Genomic DNA, 27,900 nt, shown 5'->3' on the forward strand with positions numbered 1-27,900 from the left:
GTCCTGTGAGGAAACAGATCACACAATCAGTAAAAGAAATGACTTGGGGGAGGGGCAGTGCTGTCAGTAGTAAAGAGTTAGAACAAACAAATCCCATTTGATTCTGAAGGCAGAACCATGACCACTAAGTGGAAGCTTCAACAAGGAACAATTTGAGTTCTAGGAAGACCTTTCTAATAGTGGTACTGAATGAGGATGTCATATAAGATAGTGAGACCTCTGTCACTGGTGGTATACAAGCATAAGCTCATGATGGTATAGATAGGATTCAAACATCAGACAGAAGGCTGGAAATAGGGCCTCAAATTCCTTCCAAGTCCGGACGCGGTGGCTTATGCCTGTAATCCCAACACTTTGAGAGGCCGAGGCGGGTGGATCACCTGAGGTCAGGAGTTCGAGACCAGCCTGGCCAACATGGTGAAACGCCATCTCTACTAAAATACAAAAATTAGCCAGGCATGGCACTGGGTGCCTGTAATCCCAGCTACTCAGGAAGCTGAGGCGGAAGAATTGCTTGAACCTGGGAGGTAGAGGTTGCAGTGAGTGGAGATCGTGCCACTGCTCTCCAGCCTGGGAGACAGAGTGAGACTCCGGCTCAAAAAATAAATAAATAAAAATAAAATTCCTTCCAACCAATAATTATAGATCTTCTCCTTTGTCCCAGGGTAGGGACATATGTCCACAGCCCTAAAATCAGAGTCTGTGCTATGTTGGTTGCCGGGGCACTTGCTGGGAGGCCTGGATCGTTCCTCAGCCTCAATCTTGGGAACCGGGCTCTGTCTCTTACTGTGTGACTTGGTCTCTTCCAGCCTTGGTGCTCTCACACACAGAATGGGGACAGTATTGGCCATCAGGAGGCCTGAATGAGACTCCGTGTAAGAGTCTCTGAGGCAGGACGCAGACACTGAGTGCTCAGGGAGTGGGGTGGTGGGAGTCCCTGCTTCCCCCTTCCACAAACCTGACTTGGCCGACTGCTGTTTCTGCTTCTTCTCCTCCTGCACCTTCATCTTGGCATCGTACTCATCAGCAAGCGCCTTCCACTCCTTGCGATTGTTGGTGATCCCGTCCAACATTGGGGTGATCTCCTCGTGGAAACGGGAGAATTCCTAGAAGAGAGAGTATGTGCCTCTGGTGCAAGGGCCAGGCCACAGGGTCTGGGCTCAAGCGGGTGGCACAGCTGGAAACGTCCAACACTGGAATGAGCTGCTTCGGAGTAGCAGGCCTCCCGCCACCGTGCTGATACTGCAGGGCCTCCGGTCTACACCAGCCCATGCCTCACCTGCTTAGAAGCCTCCTGTGGCGCCCCTGTCCTTCAGCATGAAGTGAAAACCCCTTACTATGGCTTTCAAACTCCATGACCCAGTGTCCTCCTGCCCTTGACCATCTTGCATTCTCCAAGCAATCCAAATCTCTTAGTTCCTGGAGTGTGTCCTCCATTCTGTGAGCCTCACACAAGCTGCTCTTTTCTTTTTTTTTTCTTTCCAAGACAGGGCCTCACTGTCATCCAGGCTGGAGTGCAGTGGCACAAACATAGCTCACTGCAGCCTCAAACTCCTGGGCTCAACCCATCCTCCCACCTCAGCCTCCCAAGTAGCTGGAACTACAGGCTCATGCCACCACACCCAGGTAATTTTTTTTATTTTTGTAGATACAGGGTCTCCCTATGTTGCCTAGGCTGGTCTCAAGCTCCTGGCCTCAAGTGATTCTTCTGCCTTGGCTTCTCAAAGTGCTGGGATTACAGGCATGAGCCACCATGCTCAACCCAAGCTGTTCACTTTGCTGGAACACTCTAACCTCCCGTTTTCTTCCTTGAGGCCTCCACTTATATGTCACTTCCTCCAAGAAGCCTCTTCTGGCCCCCTAGTGGAGTCCCCCATTGGAAGCTCCCAAAGCCCTCTCTTACCACATCTTGCTTCCTTGTCATGACTCCCTTTGCTTGTCTCCCCGAGAGGCTGAGAACCTGGAGAGGGCAGGGACATTGGCAGCCTCATTCCCTGGGGTGGCCCTGGCCTAGCACAAGGTCTGGGACACAAGGATACTCAGTAAATATTTTCTGAGTGAAATCGGGATGTTGAGAAGATGATTTTTTTTTTTTTGAAACTGAGTTTTGCTCTGTTGACCAGGCTAGAGTGCAGTGGTGCAATCTCGGCTCACTGCAACCTCCGCCTCCCAGGTTCAAGTGATTCTCCTGCCTCAGCCTCCCAAGTAGCTGGGATTACAGGCATGCACCACCAACCCAGCTAATTTGTTTTTTTGGATTTAGTAGAGATGGGGTTTCACCATTTTGGTCAGGCTGGTCTCGAACTCCTGACCTCAAATGATCCACCTGCCTTGGCCTCCCAAAGTGCTGGGATTACAGGCATGAGCCACCTAGAAGATGATTCTTAAAGGCTCTTACAGCTCTTTGAGCATAGCACATTATACTTTATGAGCAATTTATCTCCTCTGGTCCTCAAATTCCTGTGAGGTAGGAAAATAAGATTCATCACTTCTACATCTTTAGGTAAGGAAATTGAGATGCAGATTGATGGAGTGGATTTGCCCAATATAAGAACAGCAAATCCACGGCCCGCTGTGAAGTGCCAGAGCCGACTGTGTTCAGAGATGCCTGGGTTCCGGTCCAGGCTCTGCCACAAACTGCGATCTTGGGCGGGTCACTACCAGAGCTTACCTTCAGCCATTAAATCAGGACAGTAATAATACCTACCCCACAGTGTGGTTTTGATAACATATATAAAGCACTTAGCCCAGTCTCCCTTATTTAATAATATTCCTGATGATTAAAACTCATTCCCTCAGCTGGGCACCATGGCTCACGCCTGTAATCCCAGCACTTTGGGAGGCCGAGGCGGGTGGATCGTTTGAGGCCAGGAGTTTGAGACCATCCTGGCCAACAAGGCAAAACCCCGTCTCTACTAAAAATACAAAAATTAGCCCGGTGTGGTGGCACATGCCTGAAGTCCCAGCTGCTTGGGAGACTGAGGCAGGAGAATTTCTTGAACCTGGGAGGTAGAGGTTGCAGTGAGCTGAGATCGCACCACTGCACTCCAACCTGGGTGACAGAGTGAGATTCTGTCTCAAAAAAAAAAAAAAAAAAAATTTAGCTGGATGTGGTGGTGTGCACCTGTGGTCCCAGCTACTCAGAAGGCTGAGGTGGGAGGATCATTTGGGCCTGGGAGGTCAAGGCTGCTGTAAGCTATGATGGTGCCTCTGTACTCCAGCCTGGGTGACAGAATGAGACCTGTCTCAAAGAAAAAAAAAAAACCAGCAAAAAACTCATGTCCTCAATGAAAAAAAAGAAATATTACTGATGATAGTGGCAAGCATCAGCCACTGTGTCCCGTGGGTCAGAGCACCCCAGTTAGTCTGAGTTGTATCTCAGATGCTCTTGTTGCCTTCTAGAAAATTTGCACTTCTTCCTAGCAAAGGGCTGCAGCTCACACAGCATAAAGAGAACTGGGCTAAATCCTGCCTTATGGCTAAGTCCAGTGACACTGGCCCTGTCACTTTGCATCTCTGACTTTTGTCTTCTCATGTGTAACATGGCCAAAATAAAAATTAAAAGTCAGAGGTGGATGGTGGCACAGATTAACAGAAAGTTGGGAGCAATGGGTTTCTCAAGAGGGAGACCAACTTTGAATAAGAGCTCAAAGAGAAAGTCCAGATTATCTTTTCACAATTACTTTTGGCCTATGATGTTTCCACCAGCTAGGGAACTTAGAAGGACATATGTCTACTATGTTTCCCCTTCCTCTGTGAATCCATGCTTAGTCATTTGCCCCACAATTATGTATTAAGCAACTAGGATGTACCGTACGCTGGAGCCTGGAGCTGCAATCACATGAGACCCATAGAGCTGTCCTGAGAATCGAATGCCATTAGAGATGAGAAGCGCTTTGTAAAGTATCACCCACTGGTCACCTGCTAGGGTTTATTATTCCTGCTGTTGTCTGGAAATCCCAGGTTTATCAAAGACATCTTGTTGCGGCTGAGGAAGCCAAGGGCCTACCTTGTAGACGAAGGTGCAAACAAAGTCAATGAAGCCGACTTGAAGCTTAGGGAGTTCATCTGCTTTGTTTCTGTCCATCATGGGCTGTCATGGGGGAGAAAGAGTTAATTGCACTGGACAGTAAGAGAAACCTACCCTATCTATGAAGCATTCTTACTAAAATCAAACTGTAAACTCATCATGTTTCCAGACCTGATGAGCATTTTGCAGGAAATAGGAGAATAGAGAAACATGTTAAAGAACACCATGAGGGTGTAACCAACCAAATCCAGAATGTGGGAAACTGCACAAAAAAAAAGACACACTGTCTTCAGCAAATAAATGGCATACCAGAAAAAGGCCAGAGGGTGGGAGGGATGGCAGGGCCTGCTACAGATTAAAAGAGACTTAAGAGACATTAAAACCAGAGGCAGTATGCTCCTTGATTAGATCCTGATTTGAACAAATCAACTGAATTCTCTTTCTTAATCAAGAAAAATGAACAGAAATTGGGGATTAGATGATACTGAAGTATATGACTTTTGTGAGTGTGTTAATGGTATTATGGTTGTGTTTATGATTTTGTCCATATGAAGCTCTTGTCTCATAGAGATACGTACTAAAGTATTTATGGAAGAGATTATAGTGGCTGAGATTTACTTTAAAATACTGCAACCAAAAGCAAAAAAATGCACTGGAAGGAATTGATAAAACAAGAATGGCAGACTGCTGCTAATTGTTGGCTGTAGCTGATGGGCACTAGAGTTCACTGACTATTCTCAATATATTTGAAAATATTACAAAGAGAGAGTGAGAACGACAAAGCCCATGGGGCCCTTCACGTGTTTCTTCATGACAGGACCTGCTCCTCCCAGCCTTCTACTCTCTCTCGGCTCCTGCCTAAGCCTGCCGTGGTGACCTCTGCATCCTTAGCACACTCTCACAGGTTTAGCCTATCCAGGTGTCAACGGTTTGTCCCCACAATGTCTCTCTCTTTTACCCATCCTTTCCAAACCCTGCTTTACTTCCCAGCTTTGCCTTCAGGGACTTCAGGGAAACTTCGGGCTGCTCTTCCGATCTCCCCAACTGCGCATCTCCATGGGAAGCTGGCTGACTGTCTCAGCCAAGTTAACTTTCAATGTTGACAGGTGCACAACTTGCTCACTCTGTGCTGTTAGATTAGGGTCAGGGGAGGTGGATGGACTTCTAGACCTTTGAAATTGAAAGGGCAATCTAAGTGTTGGAGTCCACTTGCCAACCTCTAGGGTTGAGTGAGCTAAGGACACATTTCCCAAAATTTAGGAGGGCTTACTAGTTAGAGCATTCATTGCAGGGGCCCACCCCCAGAGCTTCTGGTTGGGTAGACCTAGGGTGAGGCTTGTGAATATACATACCTAACATGTTCTCAAGTAATGAGGTTGACAGTGGCCTGGAGACCACATTTTTAGAACCACTGCATTAGGAAAAGGTCATCTTTATGGTAAAGTCACACATCTCTCCATCATGGCGAGGTCATATCTAGGTCAGGATGGAGCACACACACCTAACATCAGGCTGACATCCCCTGTCTACTCACAATGGGATTCTGTTGCAGCACCGTGCGCTCCAGGTCACCTTGTTCCCAGAATTCAGCAGCCACCAGCAGAGCTACCTGCAACAGACAGACCCTCACACACGCAGAGTCAGAGCCCCAGCCCAATCCCCTACCCCTGCTCCCACCCCACTTGCAATTCCAAATCAACAAAAAGGATAAACCCATCCCTGCCCTGCCACCCTCACTTTTGCTGTCATCACTGGAGAGACGTAAAATGATTCCCATGTCTTGGTAGAGGAGGATGGGACACAGGTGAGCTGGTTCTGGAGCTGGGCTGAGAGAGTCCAAGCCTCATGACCTGATGCCCCCAGTACTGGGATGCCCCTCCTCTTGGGTCAGCAGGAGTTCATACCTGGCTCTGCACCTCCCAGGGTTTGGTGATGGCTGAGAGATCACAGGCGGTCATCATCATGGCCCTGGGCACACAGGACACCCTCTATCAGTCCAGGGCCATTTAAGACTTCATGTACTGGTTAATTCCATCTCTCTCACCTTTCTCCACCCCCACTAGTAGGTGACTTTGTCTCATTGTGAGGAAAGGGCTCACCCCCATTGCATCCAGGGGTTGGGCTTTGAAATCAAACAGGGTTAGATCCTGCCTCTGTCAGTGATCAGAGGTTGGACACTGGGCAACTACACCAACCTCTCTGAGCCTCCATTTCCCTGTCTGTAATGATAATCGTACCTTACTCACAAAACAGGTATAAGATTAAATGAGATTGTGGTTGGAGAAATCTAAGTATAGTGTCTGAACATGGTATATGCATAAGGAACATGTACTGGGTTTTCTTCTGTATCAAGCACTGTTCCAGGGACTGTACAAACATCAATTTCATTTAAATCTCATCACATCTTCAGAGTCCCTTTGCTCTTTTCTACTGTAGAGAAGTGTTTCTCAACTTTTTTTCTCATCATTGTTCCCTGCCCCAACTGCCAACGAGCCTTTTTAGATACTTTTTCAGTAATTGCCCCACGATGAGCTTTTAATACCACAGATATGCTGTCCATCTGTTTGGAGAACCACAGGCCATTGTAATAGCTAAGATTTGCTCTCCTACCTCAAGAATCACTTTTTGCTCCATTGGAGGCAATATACTCCATTTTTCTATCAGTCAGTTAGCTTTTCTGATTTAGGAGTTTTGTTTAATACTAATAGATTTCTTTCTCTTCTAGGCCATTTCCTCACCTGGCAGAAACTCTCACCCAAAAAATTTAAAAGGTAAAAAAAAGAAAAAAGAAAACATATGGTGTAAAGAGAACTGTGAACAGCTGTAGCAAAGAGGCCTTGCATTAAGGCTTGGAAAGGGCCAGGTGCCGTGGCTCACGCCAGTAATCCCAGCCCTTTGGGAGGCTGAGGTGGGCGGATCACTTGCAGTCTGGAGTTCAAGACCAGCCTGGCCAACTTGGTGAAACCCTGTCTCTACTAAAAATACAAAAATTAGCTGGGCATGATGGCATGCACCTGTGATCCCAGCTACGCGGGAGGCTGAGGCAGGAGAATCGCTTGAACTCGGGAGGCGGAGGTTGCAGGGAGCTGAGATCACACCACTGCACTCTAGCCTGGGCGACAGATCGAGACTCCATATCAAAAAAAAAAAAAAAAAAAGGAGTGGAAGGGTGCAGGTAAAGAAAGTAGGTAGAAAGAGTTCAAAGGTAAACTCTTAAGGGAGTGTCCCACTCATAGAAAGGCAAGGCAGGTATTATTACATAGGTGGGTACAACAGAAAATAGAAAGGGAGGGGACACGGACAAAGAACTGGAGCAAGAGGAGGGAGCAAGGGGGGTGGATTTGAGAAAACATTTTAGAGCAGGTAATCCTGGTAATCCAGGGCCATGTGGCATGGGCCCTAAATTCCATGCCAGGGAGTGCAGACTGTATCTAGCAAGCAGTGGGGAACGGTTGAAGGTTAAAGGCCCAATTGTGACCTCTTCAGAGCTGTGCTGCAGGAAGGCAGCTGGCAGGACTAGTAGGATGGAGAAGGAAGAAAAGAGCAGGATGGAGGGGGATGGGGTGCTGCAGTAATTCAGCAGGAGGGCAGGAGAGCTGGTCTGCAGCAACGGCTGGCTGCGGCGGGGTGAGACCAATGGGCAGGAACTGGGGAGAGGGAGGAGTGAGAGAAGGCTGGGGCTCTGAACCTAACTTGCTGCTTGGATAATTTTACAATTAATCAGCTGTGTGGGGCATATTTTCTATAAGCCAGTCTGTGAGGCTGTAAGAGTTACTCATGGAATATTAACAAGTTTAAATAAAATCTTTAATTATGGGCCTGGCACAGTGGCTCACACCTGTAATCTTGGCACTTTGGGAGGCTGAGGAAGGAGGATCACTTGAGGCCAGGAGTTCAAGATTAACCTGCGCAAAATAGTGAGACCCTGTCCCTATGAAAAATACACAGATTAGCCAGGCGTGGTGGCATGTGCCCGTAGTCCCAGCATTTTGGGAGGCTGAGGTGAGGGGATCGCTTGAACCCAGGAGTTTGAGGCCACAGTGAGCTATGATCATGCCACTGCATATTTTAAATTATGTAAACCCTCAGAAATTCAAATAGCTCTTTAAGTAAGCTTTCAGAAGTGCATACATTTCTTAGAAACACCTTTATGCTTTATAATAACCTCAGAATACATGCCCTGTGCTTTAATAAGTGCTGTGGACATGTTTACTTACTGTCAGATAGGTTGAGCAAATAAATGCTCAGCTATGCATATAAGAGTCACTGGCTCCCTGGTGGCTTCAGGAGGGCACTGGATGCTTACTTTCTTTAGCTGGAGGGATCATGTGGAAAACATTCCCAGTGGTTGCAGAAACACACCTAAGAATTTTATAGACAGAGATTTGCTGTGTGCATGGGATGAAGGAGGGACACCAAGGTGCCAGAAAAGCCAATTCGAGACTTGTGCCCTAAAGATGAGGCTTCACATTCACTCCAGCACCTCCCCCTTATATGCACTGGGGTCCCAAGTGCTGTGCTGGGCACAGGGGATCCAGAGGGGCCTGCAGGGAGGTCATAGTCACTCAAGGAACACAGGGCAAAAAAAAAAAAAAAAAAAAACTGTCATCACAATATGCTAAGTAGAATGGCAGAAAAAGGTCCAAGGTGAAAAAAGAAGAAGAAAGAAAGAGAAAGAGAAAGAAAGAGAAAGAAAGAAAAAGAAAGAAAGGAAAAGAAAGAGAAAGAAAGAAGAAAGAAAGGAAGAGAAGAGAAGAGAAAAGAAAAGAAAAGAAAAAAAGAACCCAAAAGTGAAGGTGACTAGCTCAGTCCAGGTGCCATCTAAGAGGTGACAATGGAGCAAAGGCCTTGAGGGGTACATAGGAGCCCTCTGTAATGGACAGAATGTTTGTCTCTTCCCAGTCTTATATGTGGAAGCCCTAACCTTTAATATGATGCTATTAGAAGACAGGGTCTTTGTGGGGTGCTGAGGTTTAGATGAGGTCGTAAGGTTGCAGCCCCCATCGTGGGGTCATGGGCTTCATCACCATAGAAGAACACACAGGGAAAGTGGTCTCTGCTGGCTAGGAAGAGGCTGGGCTCACATGGTCCATGCTCTCAGAGATCTTGCAGATGTGCTGGGGAATTGCACATTTATCCCACACATGCAGGTTAACATGTAAACAAACAACTGCTCTGAAGGAAAGGACTTCCATTCTTGGAGAAGACATGAGAAAGAGAAACTGACTGAGGTCTGGGAGGTCAGGGAGGGCTTCCCTGAGAGAGTGCCTCTGGAGCTGATAACTGTAGGATGTGTAACCATTTACTTGCTAAAGAAGGGAGTGGGAGAAACACATTCCAGGCAGAAGGATCATCTAGTGTGCAGGGCCTGGTAGAAGGAAGCCCTGCACAAAGAGCTTAAAGGTTGGGGGAGCTCAGGGAGCAGGTGGGAGACCTGGTAAGAGAAGCTCCACAGAGGAGCAGGGGCGGCCCATGCAGAGCCCAGGCGCCGCTGCGAGGGGATGGTTTTCATGCTACGAGCAACAGGAAAAGCCATGGGAGTTAGAACAGAAGGGTGACGTGGCCACATTTGTATTTCACAGAAATCACTGTGGCTTCAGTGTGGAAGGGACAGGAGCGTACACAGGGAACCCAGTTAGGAAGCCACTGCAGGATCTGGACAAGAGATGGAGCTGGCAATAAAGAGAAATGTCCAGACAGATATGGCACTTAGGAAGTCAACTCAGCAGCATTTGGGGACAGATTAGACTTGCAAAGTGAGGAAGAGAGAGGTGTCAGGATGGAACAGAGTAAAGGACAACATGGTTATAATGCAGAAAGAAGCAAGAGTATGCCACAAAAATATTGTATGCTCAGAAATGTGAACCTTATGCTCTCAGTAGACGAACTGTCAAGAGGAGGGGATGGAGTTCAATAGGACAACAGTGCAAAATTCCATGCAGGGCTTTGGAATCAGACAGAGCTGAATTAGACCTTCCATCTCCTCCCCACTTGCTGTGTCCAGGGCAAGCGACTTCATGTCTTTGAGTCCCAGTCTGTTCGTTTGTAAAATGAGATATTCATGTTAGGTTGGATCCTATGAAATTCTGATTTTGTTAGTCCAAATCAGTTAAAATTCAGCAGTTTCCTATGGGTCAATGTAATATATCCTTTTTAAGACTTACTGTGATGATCACATAAGATGCTTTTGTAAATGCACCCAGTGTCCTCATCTTCATTATCAGCACCTGCATTCATCTCACTCACGTTCTGGGTCACCCTCGTGTGTAGAGCTCTCAAAAGCAAGCTGAGCTCTTATCCGCCTGGACCATCCCCAAGGCAAATGTTTCTTCCTGAAACATTTGGCTCCTTGGCTGTGAGTTTCAGTGGCACTTCTTCCTGACTCCTGGCCAACTTTCAGGAAAAGCATTCCAGCCTTCCTCTTAGCCAGCCCTTTCAGGACACTTACTCAGACCCTCCCTGGAATTACATGTGTCTGGAGGGTACAGCAGGAGACCCTGCCGGGGAAGGCCTTGGAGGAGCCTAAGAAAGCAGTGGGTGTGCAGGCAAGGGCTGGTGTGGCTGAGTCCAAGTCCTTGATGCTCCACAAATGCCTGCGTGATGCCAGCTAAGTCACATTGTCTCTCTGGGCCTCACTTTCCTCACTTGTAAAACACTAGACCAGGAATTGGCAAACTCTTTCTGTAAAGAGCCAGACAGTAAATGTTTGACGTTTTACAGCCTACATAGTCCCTACTGCAAAGACTGAGCTCTGCCACTGCGATGTGAGAGCAGCCGTAGATAAGCACAGCATGGATAAGCAGGGCCAGCTCGTCCATTCAACAGAGCACCGAGGGCCCACGATATTCTCCAGGGCCCATGAAAATATTTCAATTTCTTTCAAGATGAGCAGGAAAAAAGGACATAACAGGAATGAATATGTAAGAATGAATTCAGTCTGGATTATATTTGTCTTCATACCAACACAATCATAAAATATAATTTGTATTTACTTATTTACTTTTATGGAGGAAGGAGGCACAAAGACAAAAGTGCCTAGGACCCATGAAAGTCAGAATGTGGCCCTCTGTAAAAGAATACAGCTTTATTTATGGAGACTGAAGTTTGAATTTCTTATGATTTTCATTTGTCATGAGATACTCTTTTTTTTTTTTTTTTTGAGACCGAGTCTCACTCTGTTTCCCAGGCTGGAGTGCAGTGGCATGATTTAGGCTCACTACCTCCTCTACCTCTGGAGTTCAAACGATTCTCCTGCCTCAGCCTCCTGAGTAGCTGAGATTACAGGTGTGCGTCACCACGCCCAGCTAATTTTTGTATTTTCAATAGAGACAGGGTTTCATCACGTTGACCAGGTTGGTCTCAAACTCCTGGCCTCAAGTGATCCGCCCGCCTTGGCCTCCCAAAGTGCTGAGATTACAGGTGTGAGCCACCACGCCTGGCCATGAAATATTATTCTGTTGACTTTTTCCCCCAACCATTTAGAAATGTAATAGCCATCCTTAGCTCATGAGCCATACACAAACACTGCAGTGCTAGAGGATCTGTGAGCCTTTCCAACTCATGGTTTGGTCAGACTGTCAGAAGCAAAATCTGGAATTAAGGGGAAATGTCAAGAGTTTGATGAAGAATAGGAAGTCACACCCTCACTCTAGAGTTTCTATAATATCTTGACCCTAGATTAAAATTACTGAAGTAGTCCTAGCTACTTAGGAGGCTGAGGCAGGAGGATCACTTGAGCCTGGGAGGTTGAGGCTACAGTGAGCTATGATCATGCCACCACACTTCAGTCTGAGCAACAGAGCAAGACCCTGTCTCTAAAAAAAAAAAAAAAGAAGAAGAAAAAAGTCAAAGTCAATTGGTGTGGACCTCCCACCACAGGAAGCCCGTGGACATAAGCACTCCAAGATAATCAAAACACAGGAAGGGAGTGTTGGGTTTTTCCTCACAACAAGCAATCCTGACACCAACTGGGTGTCTTACAATTCATTTCAACTCTGATACTAAATTCCTATAGTTAGCATCACATTCTACAGGTTAAAGGGTTCAGTCCCACAAGACTGCCTCACTTCAGAGGCCAGCCACATGTATGGGGTCCCCAAGTTACCTACCCTTCTGTCTGACTTGGCAACAAAGTTGAAATGTGTCCCTGCGTTCGGGTTCAGTAATTTGCTAGATGAGCTCACAAATCTCAGGGAAACACTTTACTTACATTTTCTAGTTTATTATAAAGGTTACAGCTCAGAAACAGCCAAATGAATGTGATGCATAGACAAAGTTATGGGAGGGGGAATGCGTGCCACCACCTCGAAGTATTCACCAAACCAGAAGCTCTCTAAACCCTGCTGTTTAGAGGTTTGTATGGAGCTTTTTTTGTTTTTAATCACAGAAGCATGATTGATTAAATCATTATCCACTGGCAATTAACTCAATCTCCAGCCTCTTCCCTCCCCGGAGGCTGGGGATGGGGCTGAAAGTTCCAAGCTTCAAATGAAGGCTTGGTCTTTCTGGTGACCAGCCCCTAGCCTGAAGCTGTCTAGGGTCCTGCCAAGAGTCATCCCATCAGAACAAAAGATGCTCCTATCACTCAGGAAATTCCAAGGGTTTTAGGATCTCTGTCAGGAACCAGGAACGAAGACCAAACATATATGTCTTCTTATACCACAGGAAGCACCGAACACCACTACCTGCTGCACTGCATTCCACATACTCCAGCTCAGCCCCCATGATGGTCCACAAAGTAGGCACCACCATGATCCTCACTGAGCAGATGAGGAAACTGAGGTGAGGGAGTAAGTCACCTGCTTGAGGTCACACCACCAATAAATGAAAGAGCTGAGACTTGAACCCAGGCTGTCTGATACCAAAGCCCCAAGTGTGTAACAGCTACATGCTACCCAGGTGTGAAGAAGTTCCAATTATACACCTAAGCAATGGGCCCCGAGATGGCTTTATAGCAAACAGCTGGGCCAATTTTTGCCCCAGGGGATATTTGGCAATGTCTGGAGACATTTTTGATTGTCACAGCTGGGGAGGGGTGGGGGTGCTCCTGGTGTCTAATCCTGTGCATCCCTCAAGGCGCAGAACAGCTCCACAGCAGGGTTGCCAGCCCCAAATGTCAACAGGGCTGAGACTGAGAAACGCTGCATTACAGGTCTCCCAATATTTTTCGTTAAATCCCTACCTAAAGAATTTTGAAAAGTGCTACCTTCTTGCACATTTTTAAGTTGACATCTTAAACTATTACAAGTTTAATATTTTCAAAGGATCTAATTTATAGCACATTATACATACTGACTATTTTTTTTTTTTTTTTTGAGTCGGAGGAGCCTCGCTCTGTCACCCAGGCTGGAGTGTAGTGGCACCGTCAGGGCTCGCTGCAGCCTCAACCTCTCGGGCTCAAGCAGTCCCTCCACCTCAGCCTCCTGAGTAGTTGGGACCACAGGTGCGTGCCACCACACCCAGGGAAATTTTTATTTTTTATAGAGACAAGGTCTCGCTATGTTGCCCAGGCTGGCCTCAAACCCCTGAGCTCAAGCCATCCTCTCGCCTCAGCTTTGCAAAGTGCTAGGATTACACATGTGGCCACTGTGCCTGGCCATACTGACTTTTTAAAATAAATTTGTTACATCATTCTTTACCCACAATAAAAGCACATGAGCAAGCTTTTCTTTAAGAGTCTAGAGTTTTACATCTTTCCTTGTCTCTGTAAACCTCTATTTCCACTTGACTTCCCCACAGAATTTTATCCTAATATTGTGTGTATATACGTGTACATGTATGTGCATATGTGTTTCTGTATATATATGTGTGTGTGTACACTACATATATGCTTGAAAGTCTTTCATTGATCGATTTTCATAATTACTTGCAATCAATTATATCCATTTATTGAAATTATGTAATTAAAATTTTTTCTTTGACCATAAGCCTCTAAGTGTTGAAAAATTTTCTTTTGGATTAAGTTATTATTACACAATTAAATAACAAAATATACTACCTATTTTTACAAATAATTATTAAACACTCAAAGCACCCTTTTTTGAATTCATCTATTAACAATATAGGGTGGATTTTTTAAAAAGTATTGGTTTATGAATGAATATTTCTTGTTACTAGACTGGAGTCGGATTCAGCACCTATTTTTTGCCCATTTTTCCTCTTTTTTTTTTTTTTTTTTTTTTAACCAGAGTCTCTCTGTTGCCCAGGCTGGAGGGCAGTGCAGTGGCATGATCATAGCTAGCTGTAGCCTGAAACTCCTGGGCTCAAGTAATCCTCCCACTTCGGCCTCCCAAGTAGCGTGCACCACCGTACCTGGATAATTTAAATTTTCCAGGACAGAGTCTTACTCTGTGGCCCGGCTGGAGTGTGGTGGTTCCATACCGGCTCACTGCAAACTCCGCCTCCCCGGTTCAAGCGGTTCTTGTGCCTCAGCCTCCACAGTAGCTGGGATTACAGGTGCAAGCCACCATGCCCTGCTAATTGTTTTTTGTATTTTAATAGAGATGGGGTTTCACCATGTTCCCCAGGCTGGTCTTGAACCTCTGAGCTCAGGCAATCTGCCCGTCTCAGCCTCCCCACCATGCCCAGTTCCTATTTTTAAATTTAAATAAGCATGTTACAATACATCCAACTTATCTTTTATTTTTAATTCTAAGAAAGGTAAAGGTACATGGAGGGTATGTAGGTAGACTAGACAGACAGATGATGATAGATGATGAGAGATGATAGATAGATAGATAGATACATAGATAGATAGATGATAGATAGATAGATAGATAATATGATTCTGTTGAGAGACTATTGACCAAATAAAAAAGAAAGAAAAAAAATTGTAAAGACAGATGATAGAAAGAAGACAGTGAAGTGGATTAAATCAGTTGCTACCATCTTCAGTACGTATTACTGATGTGCCTTTGCCCTAGTGTCATGGTCCCTGGACAGTGATACATTTTCTGAAAGAAGTAAGATATTTAAATGAAAAATCTTTCACCTGCTGCCCCCCTATAAAACCCCACCCACTGGCTGGGAATGGGGGTGGGGTTCAGGGGGAGTGCCTGGCAATTAAAGTTGTAAAAACTCTTGAACAAATAGTCTGGGTCCAAATAGTCTGGGTCCAGTGGTTCATGCCTGTAATCCCAGCACTTTGGGAGGCCGAGGTGTAAGAATGGCTTGAACCCAGGAGTTTAAGATCAGCCTGGGCAACATAGTAAGACCTTTATTTGTCTCTACAAAAAATTTAAAAAGAGTCTCACTCTGTCACCCAGGTTGGAGTGCAGCGGTGCAATCTTAGCTCACTGCAACCTCTGCCTCCCAGGTTCAAGCAATTCTCCTGCCTCAGCCTCCCGAGTAGCTGGGATTACAGGCACGCACCACAATGCCTGGCTAATTTTTGTATTTTTAGTAGAGATGGAGACTCCCCATGTCGGCCAGACTGGTCTCGAACTCCTGACCTCAAGTGATCCACCTGCCTTGGCCTCCCAAAGGGCTGGGATTACAGGCATGGCCACCGGGCCCAGCCCCTTCCTTAGATTTATAATGCCTTAATTATAAGAGGCTGTGACACCACCAGTATGGTGGACTCTCAAACAACACAGGTTTGAACTATGCAGGTCCATTTACACATGAATTTTTTTCAACTGAACATGGATTGCAGGATGCAAAACCCATGTGGGGAGGGGCCGACTCTTCACATCCAAGGGGTTTTCAGGGCTACTGCAGGACTTGAGTTTGTACCAATTTTGGTATACTAGGGGGTCCTGGAGCCGATCCCCTGAGTATACCCAGGGATGACTGTATTTCAAATAGTCCCTCCGTTTGGCTGCCCAGAGGTTTTTGTCTCTACGACAATGCAATGTGGGAAGATTCAAGAAAGAATGGAGTTTGCCTTTATTTTGTAAGGTGGGGAAGAATGAGAGAATGCTGTGCCTACTGGGCTGCTTCTTTCTCAGGAAGATTAATATTACAAAAGAAAATGCTGATTCCCTTAAGGCTATCTATGCTGATATACATCTTGGAAGGACATGAGTTCCCAGAGGGGTATGTGTGCCGTCAGCTGAAGATGCCTACGTAAGGTCACCTTGACTTTGACAATGATTGAGATCCTGCTCCTGGCTTTTTTTTTTCTTTTAAAATTAAACATAATTCCTTTCATTTGATGTCATTTCTTTGCAAATCTGTAAGATATTCCATTGTATGAAAGTGTTATCGTTTATTTAACCTGGTTCCCCATTGCTAGGTATTTCGATTGTTTTCAATCCTGTTTGTGTTACAGACAATGCTGCAACAAACAATTCTGTACATACACTTGGTGCACATGTGGGAGAATATCTGGAGGGGAAATCCTGGAAGTGGGATTGCTGAGTCAAAGGGCATGAGCACTTACAGCTTTGATAGGTGTTGCCAAATCGCCCTCTGCAAAGACTGAGCCTGTTTACACTCCCGCATGGGGAACGAGGTGGCCCTTTCCCTCACTCTGCCCGACACAGTATGTAAGCAAATGTTTTCATCTTTGACAATAGGAGTTAACAATTATACCTCATTGTAGTTTTATAATCACCGTCTTTTCATAGGTTTATATCCCACTGTAACTTTTCTGGGAACTGTCGGTTTGTGCCTTTTGCCCATTTTCTATTGGATTAGTCTTTTCCTGGAATCATATTAACACTTTATTCACTGAGGAAATTAGCTCTTTTTCTCTTAGAAGTGGTGCAAATATTTACCTCCAGCTTATCACTTACTTTCCTATTTAGACTATGTGTTTTTGTGTGTTGTACAGAAATCCTTAATTTTTCATAGTCAGATTTCTCCATCTAATTTTATGACTTACGATTTTCATGTCATATTTTATTTATGTTTATTTTATTTTGTTTTATTTATTTATTTATTTATCTATCTATCTTGAGATGGAGTCTTGCTCTGTCACCCAGGCTGGAGTGCAGTGGTGCAGTCTCGGCTCACAGCAACCTCCACCTCCCACATTCAAGCCACTCTCCTGCTTCAGCTTCCCAAGTAGCTGGGATTACAGGCGCCTGCTACCTCGCCTAGATAATTTTTGTATTTTTAGTAGAGATGGCGTTTCACCATGTTGGCCAGACTGGTCTCCAACTTCAGACCTCAGGTGATCCGCCTGCCTCAGCCTCCCAAAGTGTTGGGATTACAGGCATGAGCCACTGTGCCCAGCCTCATGTCACATTTTGAAAAGCTCGCTCTGAAATTTTTTTTTTTTAGGTTTTTTTTTTATTATTGTTATTATACTTTAAGTTTTAGGGTACATGTGCACCTTGTGCAGGTTAGTTACATATGTATACATGTGCCATGCTGGTGCACTGCACCCACTAACTCGTCATCTAGCATTAGGTATATCTCCCAATGCTATCCCTCCCCCCTCCCCCCACCCCACAACAGTCCCCAGAGTGTGATATTCCCCTTCCTGTGTCCATGTGATCTCATTGTTCAATTCCCACCTATGAGTGAGAATATGTGGTGTTTGGTTTTTTGTTCTTGCGATAGTTTACTGAGAATGATGATTTCCAATTTCATCCATGTCCCTACAAAGGACATGAACTCAACATTTTTTATGGCTGCATAGTATTCCATGGTGTATATGTGCCACATTTCCTTAATTCTTCCATGCTTTTTTCGTGCTCTCTTTTCTTTCCCTGGTTATTTAAAAATTTTTATTACATCTGGAGTTTATTTTGGTATAAGGAATGAGATAGAGATCTAACTTCATGGCCATCCCATTGTCCCAAAACCACTGATGAACTTACACCTTTCTCCACTAGTATAAAACCCACTTTGAACACAGACATAGTCCTTAAGTTCATCCCATTGATCTGAACGACTTCTCCTGCCTAGGACAGAACTGCCTTTAGTTCTGCTGGTCACCATTATTACTCTTCCATGTCAGAATTTTCTGGCTATTCTTTTTTATCTTTTTTCTTTTTCTGGTTATTCTTGCATACTCATTTCTCATAAGAATTTTTCAATCAGCTTCCTAATTCCCCCAGAATAAAGCAGGGTTTTTTTGTTTGTTTGTTGGTTGGTTGCTTGATTTGTTTTGGAATCACCCTTAAATGAATAAATTAAAATTAGGGAGAATAGACAACTTTCTAAATCAAGTCCCCCTATCCAATAGCAGGGTGTTCCTTTCAATGATTTAGTCCTTCTGCTGAGCCATTTTGAAATGTCCAGCTATGGAAGTCAAAAAAAGAAAAACATTAGGAAAAAACAGAAGTCAGCTGGGGGTGGTGGCTCACACCTGTAATCCCAGCACTTTTAGGAGGCCGAGGTGGGCGGATCACGAGGTCAGGAGTTCGAGACCAGCCTGACCAACATGATGAAACCCCGTCTCTACTAAAAATACAAAAAAAATTAGCCGGGCATGGTGTCGCATGCCTGTAATCCCAGCTACTCAGGAGGCTGAGGCAGGAGAAGCCCTTGAACTCGGGAAGTGGAAGTTGCAGTGAGCCGAGATTGCATTCCATCCTGGGCAACAGAGCGAGACTCCATCTCAAAAAAAGAAAAGCACAAGCAAAAGTCAATAAATAAATAACCAAAATGAGATACTGTCTGGCACCAGTCACAATGGCAATTATTAAAAAGTCAAAAGAAGGCTGGGTACTTTGGAAGGCTGAGACAGGCAGATCACTTGAGGTCAGGAGTTTGAGACCAATCTAGCCAACATGGTGAAACCCCGTCTCTACCAAAAAATACAAAAAAATTTAGCTGGGAATGGTGGCGGGTGCCTGTAGTCCCAGCTACTGTGGAGGCTGAGGCACGAGAATTGCTTGAACCCAGGAGGTGCAGGTTGCAGTGAGCCGAGATCGTGCTGCTGTACTCCAGCCTGGGTGACAGAGTGAGACACCGTCTCAGAAAAAAGAAAAGAAAAGAAAAATCAAAACATAACAGATGCTGGTAAGGCTGTGGAGAAAAAGGAATCCTTATGCACTGCTGGTGAGAATGTAAACTAGTTCAGCCACTGTGGAAAGCAGTTTGGAGTTTCCTCAAAGAACTTCAAGTAGAATTACCATTCGACCCAACATCTCATTACTGGGTGTGTATCCAAAAGAAAACAAAGAGTTCTACCAAAAAGACACATGCCCTAACATGTTCATCACAGCACTATTCACAATAGCAAAACATGGAATCAACCTAGGTGCTCATCAACGGTGGATTAGATAAAGAAAATGTGTTCCATACGTGCCATGGAATACTACACAGCCATAAAAAAGAACAAAATCATAGCCTTTGCAGCAACAGGGATGGTGTTGGAGGCCATTATCTTAAGCAAATTAACACAAGAATGGAAAACCAAATACTGCATATTCTCACTTACAGGTGTGAGATAAACATTACATATACATGGACACAAAGATGTCAACAATAGATACTGGGGACTACACAAGGGGAGACGGAGGAGAGTGTGGGCCAGAAAACCACATACTGAGTGCTATGCTCACTACCTGCGTGAGGATCGTTTGTACCCCAAACCTCAGTGTCACACAATATACCCATGTAACAAACCTGCCCATGCATTCTTTAATGTATAATAAAAGTTGAAATTATAAATAAATAAATGTGGCTGGACGTGGTGGCTCACACTTGTAATCTCAACACTTTGGGAGGCCAAGGAGGGTGGATGGCTTAAGCTCAGGAGTTCAAAACCAGCCTAGGCAACATGGCAAAACCTGTTTCTACCAAAATTACAAAAATTAGCCAGGTATAGTGCGTGTGCCTGTAGTCCCAACTACTAAGGAGGCTGAGGTGAGGGGATTGCTTGAGCCTGGAAGGTTGAGGCTGCAGTGAGCCCTGATCGCCACTGCACTCCAGCCTGGGCAATAGAGCAAGACCCTGTCTCAAAAATAAATAAATAAATAAATAAATAAATAAATAAATAAATAAAATGTCCAGGGGGGCAGCTCCTGGCCAGTCTATGAGTAACTGTGGGCTGAGCATGCCCCCTTGTTCAGTGAAAGCAGATTGCACTGCTCCCAGAATCAGGGGACCTTTGTGGGAGGCCTGGTTGGACAACTGCAGGGCTGAAGGAGTGGCAACTTGCTGCTGCCCCCCCCGTTTCCGGAGCCTGTCCCAGTGGTCTCCTCTTCTCTGTTGCAGACATTTGCAATGCTTGTGACTTAATCAAGCCTCATTTCCACAGAAGCATCTGGGGATAAACAAATAACCCAATGCTTCCTAGGCAACTAGTCAGCCTTGTCTCCCCTGCAACTTTTCCTGACCATTGCCTTCAATGCCCAGGACCCATCACAGAGGAGCCAGGGGACCATTTGGCTTGGGCCACATATTCATAAAAGGCCTCAAATTTACACTTCTCACCCCATTGTCAATTGAGGTGAATCATGGAAGCACACTGAGAAAACTGAAAAAAGACATTCACCAGACAACTTAAATTTGAGTCCCATTACCAACCATGCCAGACCATGCACTGTAAATTTCATACCAACCATAACCAATTTGTGACTAGCACAGCTATATTGTGGGATATTGTCCTATGTAAAGGAATACGTTAAAAATTAAGCCTATATGTTTTGAATAACACATTAACTATCACTCAAACTTTAATTCGGGCCGGGCATGATGGCTCACGCCTATAATCCCAGCACTTTGAGAGACAGAGGTGGGTGTATCACTTGAGGTCAGGAGTTTAAAACCAGCCTAGGCAACATGGCAAAACCCGGTCTCGACTAAAAATACAAAAATTAGCTGGGCGTGGTGGTGGGTGACTGTAATCCCAGCTACTAGGCAGGCTGAGGCAGGAGAATTGCTTGAACCTGGGAGGCGGAAGTTGCAGTAAGCCGAGATCGCACCACTACACTCCAGCCTGGGCGACAGAGCGAGACTCTGTCTCAAAACAAAAAACAAAACAAAACAAAAACCCCTTAATTGCTATAGTGCTTTCCGTTGTATCAAAAACTTAAAAGTTATATCAGTTTACCACCCAAATCTTAGATATTATGATTGAACTACTTCAAATAACATATTTTTTTATTCAGATAAATAAAACAATAATACACTGTCTTGCATTTTTAGTGCTAAAATAAAGATTAAACATGTGGCTTGTGCAATTGGAATTTGGCATAACTTCATTTTTTTCATATGTTGAAGGCCTCCAAAATGAAATAGTCCCAAGGCTTGTTGAGGGCAGCAAGAGCTGTCAGTGCATCTCGCCTCATGATCCTAAGCCTAAGAGGATCAGGTTTTAACCCCATCCCAACTCACATAACGATTTCCTTCCGTGTCTGCTCCAGCATCATGTACTGTGTCCACTCCTGTTCACTCTCATATGTCTTAGACTGATCCACGATCTTTTGGAACATCGTCCTCTTCCTACAAAACATATCAGTCTAGTAAAGGGAGCAAGTCTTAGAATAAGGCAACACCTGAGCTGCTAACATTGGCTGATTCAGATGGAGCCTTATTAAATCAACAAAATTCACAAAACAAGGTTGAAAGAGCCAAGGCCCAGGAGTGAAGACCTAGGTTTAACCTAAGTCTCTGCCACTGATTTGTTATCTACTCTTAGCAAATCTCTTGTCCTGAATCTCAGTGTTCCCATCTGTACAGCGGGGGTAATGATATCTAACTCACAGGCTTGTAGCAAGAATCAATGTGTCCATAACACACGTGTTGTGCCTGACACATAGTATATGCTAAATTAATTGGAACTATGATGTTTGTTATTATTATTGTTATTATATTGTTGCTGGGTGCAGTGGCTCATGCCTGTAATCCCAATACTTTGGGAGGCTGAGGCAGAAGGATGGCTTGAGACCAGGAGTTTTAGATCAGCCTGGGTAACATAGTGAGAACCCATCTTTACAGCAAATTAAAAAATTATCCAGGAGTGGTGGTGTTCCTGTAGTCCCAGCCACTCAGGAGGCTGAGGTGGGAGGATCCCTTGAGCCCAGGAAGCAGTGAGCTGTGATGGTGCCACCGCACTCTAGCCTGGGCAACAGAGTGAGATCCTGTCTCAAAAAAGAAAAAAAAAAAATATATATATATATATACACACACACATATATATGTGTAGATATATGTGTATATATATGTGTATATATATGTATATATGTGTATATATGTGTATATATGTATATATGTGTATATATGTATATATGTGTATATATGTATATATATGTGTGTATATATGTGTATATATGTATATATGTGTGTATATATATGTGTATATATGTATATATATGTGTGTATATATATATATGCATACATATAATCATTGTTGCTTTTACTATTAGAATGAGAAGATATACCAACTTGAAATACAGGGCGAGGTCTGTGGCAATGATTGCAATGTCCATCATGTGGATGGCATGCTCATGCTGTCGACGATTGAGGTTTTGAAAGATATTCAGGCTCTAAAGAAAAAAAGAGAAGCGAGATGGGAGAGAATTGATGCTGGCAGTAAAGTCACCCACCTACCAATGGCCACCCCAGATGATGGCAGAGGCAGCCCAGGCCAATGGGAAGAATGCTCCCTGGGCACACTCAGGCTCCTTGTGAAATAGAGCCTCTGATCCAGGCCCCGCGGCCTGTAGACCCTTGGCCCTCATCCTACCTCGTCTCTGAGCAGTGTTTTGCCAAACTCCAAGTGGTGTCTTTCCAAGATAGAGGACCCATGGAGCTTGGCCAGTGGGTTCTGGGATCTGAATGAGAAAGAGAGAGAATCAATATGGAGTGGACAATAGAAAATTAGGACTAAACATCAAGTCTCCTGACTCAGTCTTCAGCCTTCTCCACAAGTGATTCCGAGTTACTTTTGGGTCGTGAACTCATTAGAGAATCTACTAAATAGCATGGACCCCTTCCCCAGAGAAAGCCACAAACACACACAATGCCATAAGGGATTTTAGGGACATTAGCACTGGGCCATGCTTCAAGATCATCTAGCCCTGATTCTTCACATCCAAGTCTTGAAGGAAACAACTGAATTTCCGCAAGCCGTGTATTTATTCATTTCTGCATTCAATAATTATTTGTTGAGCACTTGCTATGTGCCACACACTGTGCTAAGTATTTAGATTCTCAAAATGTAAAATGTAAACCCAATCTCTAGCCCCAGAGCAGCATGAAAGTATTGAGAAGACTCAGCAGCATGAATTCAGAGCTTGTTAATGACTTACAGGCCATCGGCCCTGAGCGGAGACTCAGTTTTCTCATCTGTAAGTAGGGATAACATTAGCCCCTGCTCTGCCCAGCCCACTGGGTGGTTGTGAGGATCCAATGAGATCATGGTTCAAGGACTATGCTTTATGGGCTGTCTGAAATATAAGCTCTGTAAGGACAGGAGCTGTTTTGCTCATCAGAGCACCTTTTTTGCCTGGCATAGAGCCTACCACACTATATTAGAAGCACTGTAAATACGAGATGAGTGAATGAACCATTACTGGTTATTAACATCTTGGCTCAAATTAGTGCAGCAGGTAGGACAAGGAAGGAGACAAGTACAGGAGTTTAATGCATTCATTTTCTATGGCTGCTATAACAAACTGCCACAAACTTAATGGCTTAAAGCAATAAAATTTATTATTTTACAGCTCTGTATGGAGTCTGAAATGGGTCCTTAGGGCTGCTTTCCTTCTGGAAGCTCCAGAGGAGAATCCGTTTCCTTGCTCTTTTGAGCTTCTAGAGGCCACCTGCATTCCTTGCTTGTAGGCCATGCCTCCATCTTCAAAGCCAGCAGGGTAGCATCTTCTTTCCTCTCTGACCTCTTGCTTCCCTCTTATAAGGACCATTGGGACTACATGGGGCCCACTCGAATGAATAATCCCTGTATCTCAAGATCCTCGACTTAATCACATCTGCACAGTCCCTTTTGTATGTAAGGCAACATATTCCCCAGCTCAGGGATTTGAGATCTGGACATCTTTGTGGTGGTCATTATTCTGCCTGCTACAGGAGGAGACCCGGATCCCAAGGGCAGAAGGCGGTGGGAAGCTGTGGACCACAAGACTTCCCTGTTGGCCAGTGAGTCTGCCTGGGAGCCACACAGAGCTGGATAATGAATCCGGAGGGTTGGGTGTGGGGAGGGAGGCTGACTCACTTCATCTGGTAGAGGTTATTGGTGCCTCTGTGGTCAATGTCATGGCAGAAAGCAGCAGTGACCATGGCCAAGGCCTCTAGGTCCGTGAAGTAGCGCTTCAGCTTTCCCGTCTGGAAGGGCAATCAGAGTGCAAATCATTCCTTTTGTGTAGGGGCTGGAAGCAGGGCTGAAAAGGCGGGTGTAAGGAGGAGGGCCCAGAACTAAAAAACTCATGGGTCTGATCTTGGCTGTATCCTGGCTCCAGAGGCTGACCAGAGGACTGCCCAGGGCTGAGGGGTTTTTTGGATATGGGACTTTCAGTGCTAGAATGGGGAAAGTCCCAGGTAAATGGGAACAACTGGTCACCCTATTTCTGAGTTGACCTTAGCTGGTCTCATCTCCCTCTGAACCTCGGTAGCCCAATCTCCATAATGAGGGTCGAGCATATTGGATCAGATGAATTTTGAGAAACTTGTAGAAGTCAGGTTTTAGGATTTGGAGAGTTTCTGAACATGGCCAGGCTGGTAAAGCAAATCTTCCAAACGTGGTCTACTGGTTTAAGCACAGCCTGGAGGAATCCTTCCCTGGGATTTTGCCAGACACTTAACTCCTTGTTGATGCTGGGTGTTGAAACCAAATGTGGGAAAGTGCTCTGGAGAGCTGATGCTGACTTTATGAAAGCAATCACTCTAAGTGGTGTTCCTGTCACCCTTTAAGGTAGCCTGGTCAGAATTCCTGCTTCCGGGCCCTAGCACCTACTCTGGCCTGACCATTTCAGCCAAGGGGGAAGGGATGATGTTGAGGAAGGGCAGGGATTTGCATCATGATCTGGATGGGGAAATAACTTGAAATAAAACATAAAAGTCTCCGAACCCTCTCAGTGAAAAATACGAACACAAATACACAAAGATAAGTCCATCCAAGGATATTGTGGCACTGTTTGTAATAGTGAAAGATTGAAAAGACTTCCAAGTCCAACAATAGAACACTATGCAGCCACAAAATTGTATCATGGATAAGCCTCAAAAATGTTATGTTAAGTGAAATATGCCAGACACGAAAGGACGAATACTGTATGATTTCACCTCACTGTATATGAGGTGCATAGAATAGTCAAGATGAAAGAAACAAAAAATAAGACAGGGCCAGGCATGGCAGGTCACACATGGCAGCACTTTGGGAGGCCAAGGTAGGAGGACCACTTGAGCCTAAGAATTCAAGATCAGCTTAGGCAACACAGCCAGACCCTGTCTCTACAAAACTAAAAATTTATGTGGACATGGTGGCACATACCTGTGGTCTCGGCTACCTGGTGTTAGTCCCAACTGCACCATTTTGTAAGCTCCCCATTATTTTGCAGACCTTGGTCAAAGTGAAACATTTCATGGGGGTTTGGGTCGGGAGAAACAGCCTTCCTAACCACCTGACCACAAGGCAGACAAAGGCCCAACTAAAGAAACATTCCTATCATATCTTGCTGGGCAAAAGTCCAAGAAACACCACAATGGCATCCCACCGAGACAAAAGCAAAACCGCCTCATCATGAGAACATCTTATCAATAGCCTGCCAGGCAACAAGCCATACTGCCCAGACCCCTCCCGCCCATACCTATAAGTACCACCAGCCTGTAAGCAGCGGTGGGCTCTGGCATTAGGCTGGTTCCTACTTCTGTAGATTTTATGCTGGGCGTAAAGCCTGCATTTGCTCTTGAGCCGCCCTCTTTCTGTGTGTGTGTGTGTGTGTGTCTTTCTTTAACCCTCGCCTTCCCTTCAAAACCTAACATGTGGGAGGGTGAGGTGGGAGGATCGCTTGAGCCCAGGAGGTCAAGGCTGCAGTGAGCCGTGTGTTCTCAGCACTGCACTCCAGCCTGTGTGACAGAGCAAGATCATATCTCAAAAGTAAAAAAAGATCTAAGAGGATAGAGATTAAATGTTGCCTCCTCTACAATTTCTTATTACCAAGAGACTAAAAATATTTGGGACTGTTACTAAAAATTTTCTGTGCCACAGTGACAGATTGTACTATGGGGAACTACATGCTTCTAGAAATTATTATTCACAGACGATTGATCTACAGATTGCTGGTGTGACAGACAGTTCACAATTTTTGCTTGCTTCCTAGTGTTCACTGGAAATTAAGGTCACTAAGGGTTAAGAATTCTAATTAATATAAGGATATATTAACATATATTAATATATATTTCTTTATTTAGAATTCTTAACACATAATTAATATGTTATTTATAATATATTAATAACTAATAATTAATATATTATTAATAAAATAATAAGGGAAACAATTCTATAAGCAATTATACAAGAGGGCAAAAACTGCTTTTGGTAAGAAAAAGCTATAAGATATGAGGATGTTTTATTTTGTTAAGGGTGAAAAGAGAAACTTTTGTCCTAATGTAGGATAACTGGTTACTCCAAAATGAGAAGAGGAAAAAGTATAGGAAAAAGTTGAATGGATAAGAAAGTTGTAGAAGGCTTGTGGAAGATAAATCTTGTGAAAGTAATTGTATGTGTGATGAAGCTGGCTAAGATTGGAAGAAAATGGCTGGGTGCGGTGGCTCACGCCTGTAATCCCAGCACTTTGGGAGGCCGAGGCGGGCGGATCACGAGGTCAGGAGATCGAGACCATCCTGGCTAACACAGTGAAACCCCGTCTCTACTAAAAATACAAAAAATTAGCCAGGCATGGTGGCGGGCGCCTGTAGTCCCAGCTACTCGGGAGGCTGAGGCAGGAGAATGGCGTGAACCCGGGAGGCAGAGCTTGCAATGAGCTGAGATGTGCCACTGCACTCCAGCCTGGGCGACAGAGTGAGACTCTGTCTCAAAAAAAAAAAAAAAAAGATCAGAAGAAAATTGTTTGAAGTTTTTCTAAAATTTTGAAATTAATGCTATCTTGAACATTGATGTCAAAAGTACACTGATGCAAAACTAGAACTTGGACCTCTCTTTTAAAACAACAAATTTTCTTTGAGTATTGGTCTGCTGTTAACAGGAAATTTATCTTTTAGGTAATTGACCTAGGAAACAAAGATTCTGTGCTTTACCAAATTAATTTCCTGTACTCCAGGTTGCCTTTATTAGGTTTTTGATCACTTAAGAAAACTGTTTTCTTTATTAAAAGAGCTAAGGTCTTTCTATAAGTATTTAACTTTCTGTATTTTTATTTATTTATTTATTATTTATCTTATTTTATTTTTGTTTTGAGACAGAGTCTCGCTCTGTCACCCAGGCTAGAGTGCACTGGTGCAATCAAAACTCACTGCGGTTTGGACCTCCTGGGCTCAAGCAATCCTCCCATCTCAGCCTCCTGAGTAGCTGGGACTACTGGCGCATGCCACCACACTAGGCTAAATTATCTTATTTTGGGCTGGATGCAGTGGCTCATGCCTGTAATCCCAGCACTCTGGGAGGCTGAGGCAAGCGGATAACTTGAGGTCAGGAGTTCGAGATCAGCCTCGGCAACATGGTGAAATATCGTCTCTACTAAAAGTACAAAAAGTTAGCTTGGCCCGGTGGCACGCACCTGTAATCCCAGTTACTGGGGAGGCTGAGACAGGAGAATCGCTTGAACCCAGGAAGCAGAGGTTGCAGTGAGCTGAGATCATGCCACTGCACTCCAGCCTGGGTGACAGAACAAGACTCTGTCTCAAAAAAAAAAAAAAAATTCAAGCATTTAGAAACTTCCCAAAGTCATATTCATTTTTTTTTTTTTTTTGAGACAGAGTCTTGCTTTGTTGTCCAGGCTGGAGTGCAGTGGCACGATCTCAACTCACTGCAACCTCTGCCTCCCAGATTCAAGTGA

At 44.6% G+C, this 27,900-nt stretch overlaps 1 protein-coding gene across 6 annotated transcripts in view; it reads right to left on the reverse strand.

Annotated features, from left to right (window-relative positions):
- The window catches only part of PDE6A (phosphodiesterase 6A), an 86,841-nt gene that overhangs the window by 4,208 nt on the left and 54,733 nt on the right, over nt 1-27,900 (reverse strand). For all 6 annotated transcript variants that reach the window (NM_001410788.1, NM_000440.3, XM_011537650.3 and 3 more), the window contains 8 exons: nt 24,105-24,214; nt 22,620-22,707; nt 22,319-22,419; nt 21,269-21,376; nt 5,935-5,998; nt 5,565-5,639; nt 4,010-4,093; nt 959-1,106 (listed from right to left, as the gene is read on the reverse strand). In NM_001410788.1, coding sequence (NP_001397717.1) covers nt 959-1,106; nt 4,010-4,093; nt 5,565-5,639; nt 5,935-5,998; nt 21,269-21,376; nt 22,319-22,419; nt 22,620-22,707; nt 24,105-24,214 — 778 coding nt within the window. The remainder of the gene's footprint in view (nt 1-958; nt 1,107-4,009; nt 4,094-5,564; nt 5,640-5,934; nt 5,999-21,268; nt 21,377-22,318; nt 22,420-22,619; nt 22,708-24,104; nt 24,215-27,900) is intronic.

This window comes from Homo sapiens, chromosome 5 (assembly GCF_000001405.40).
Source record: "Homo sapiens chromosome 5, GRCh38.p14 Primary Assembly".
Taxonomy (NCBI): Eukaryota; Metazoa; Chordata; class Mammalia; order Primates; family Hominidae; genus Homo; species Homo sapiens.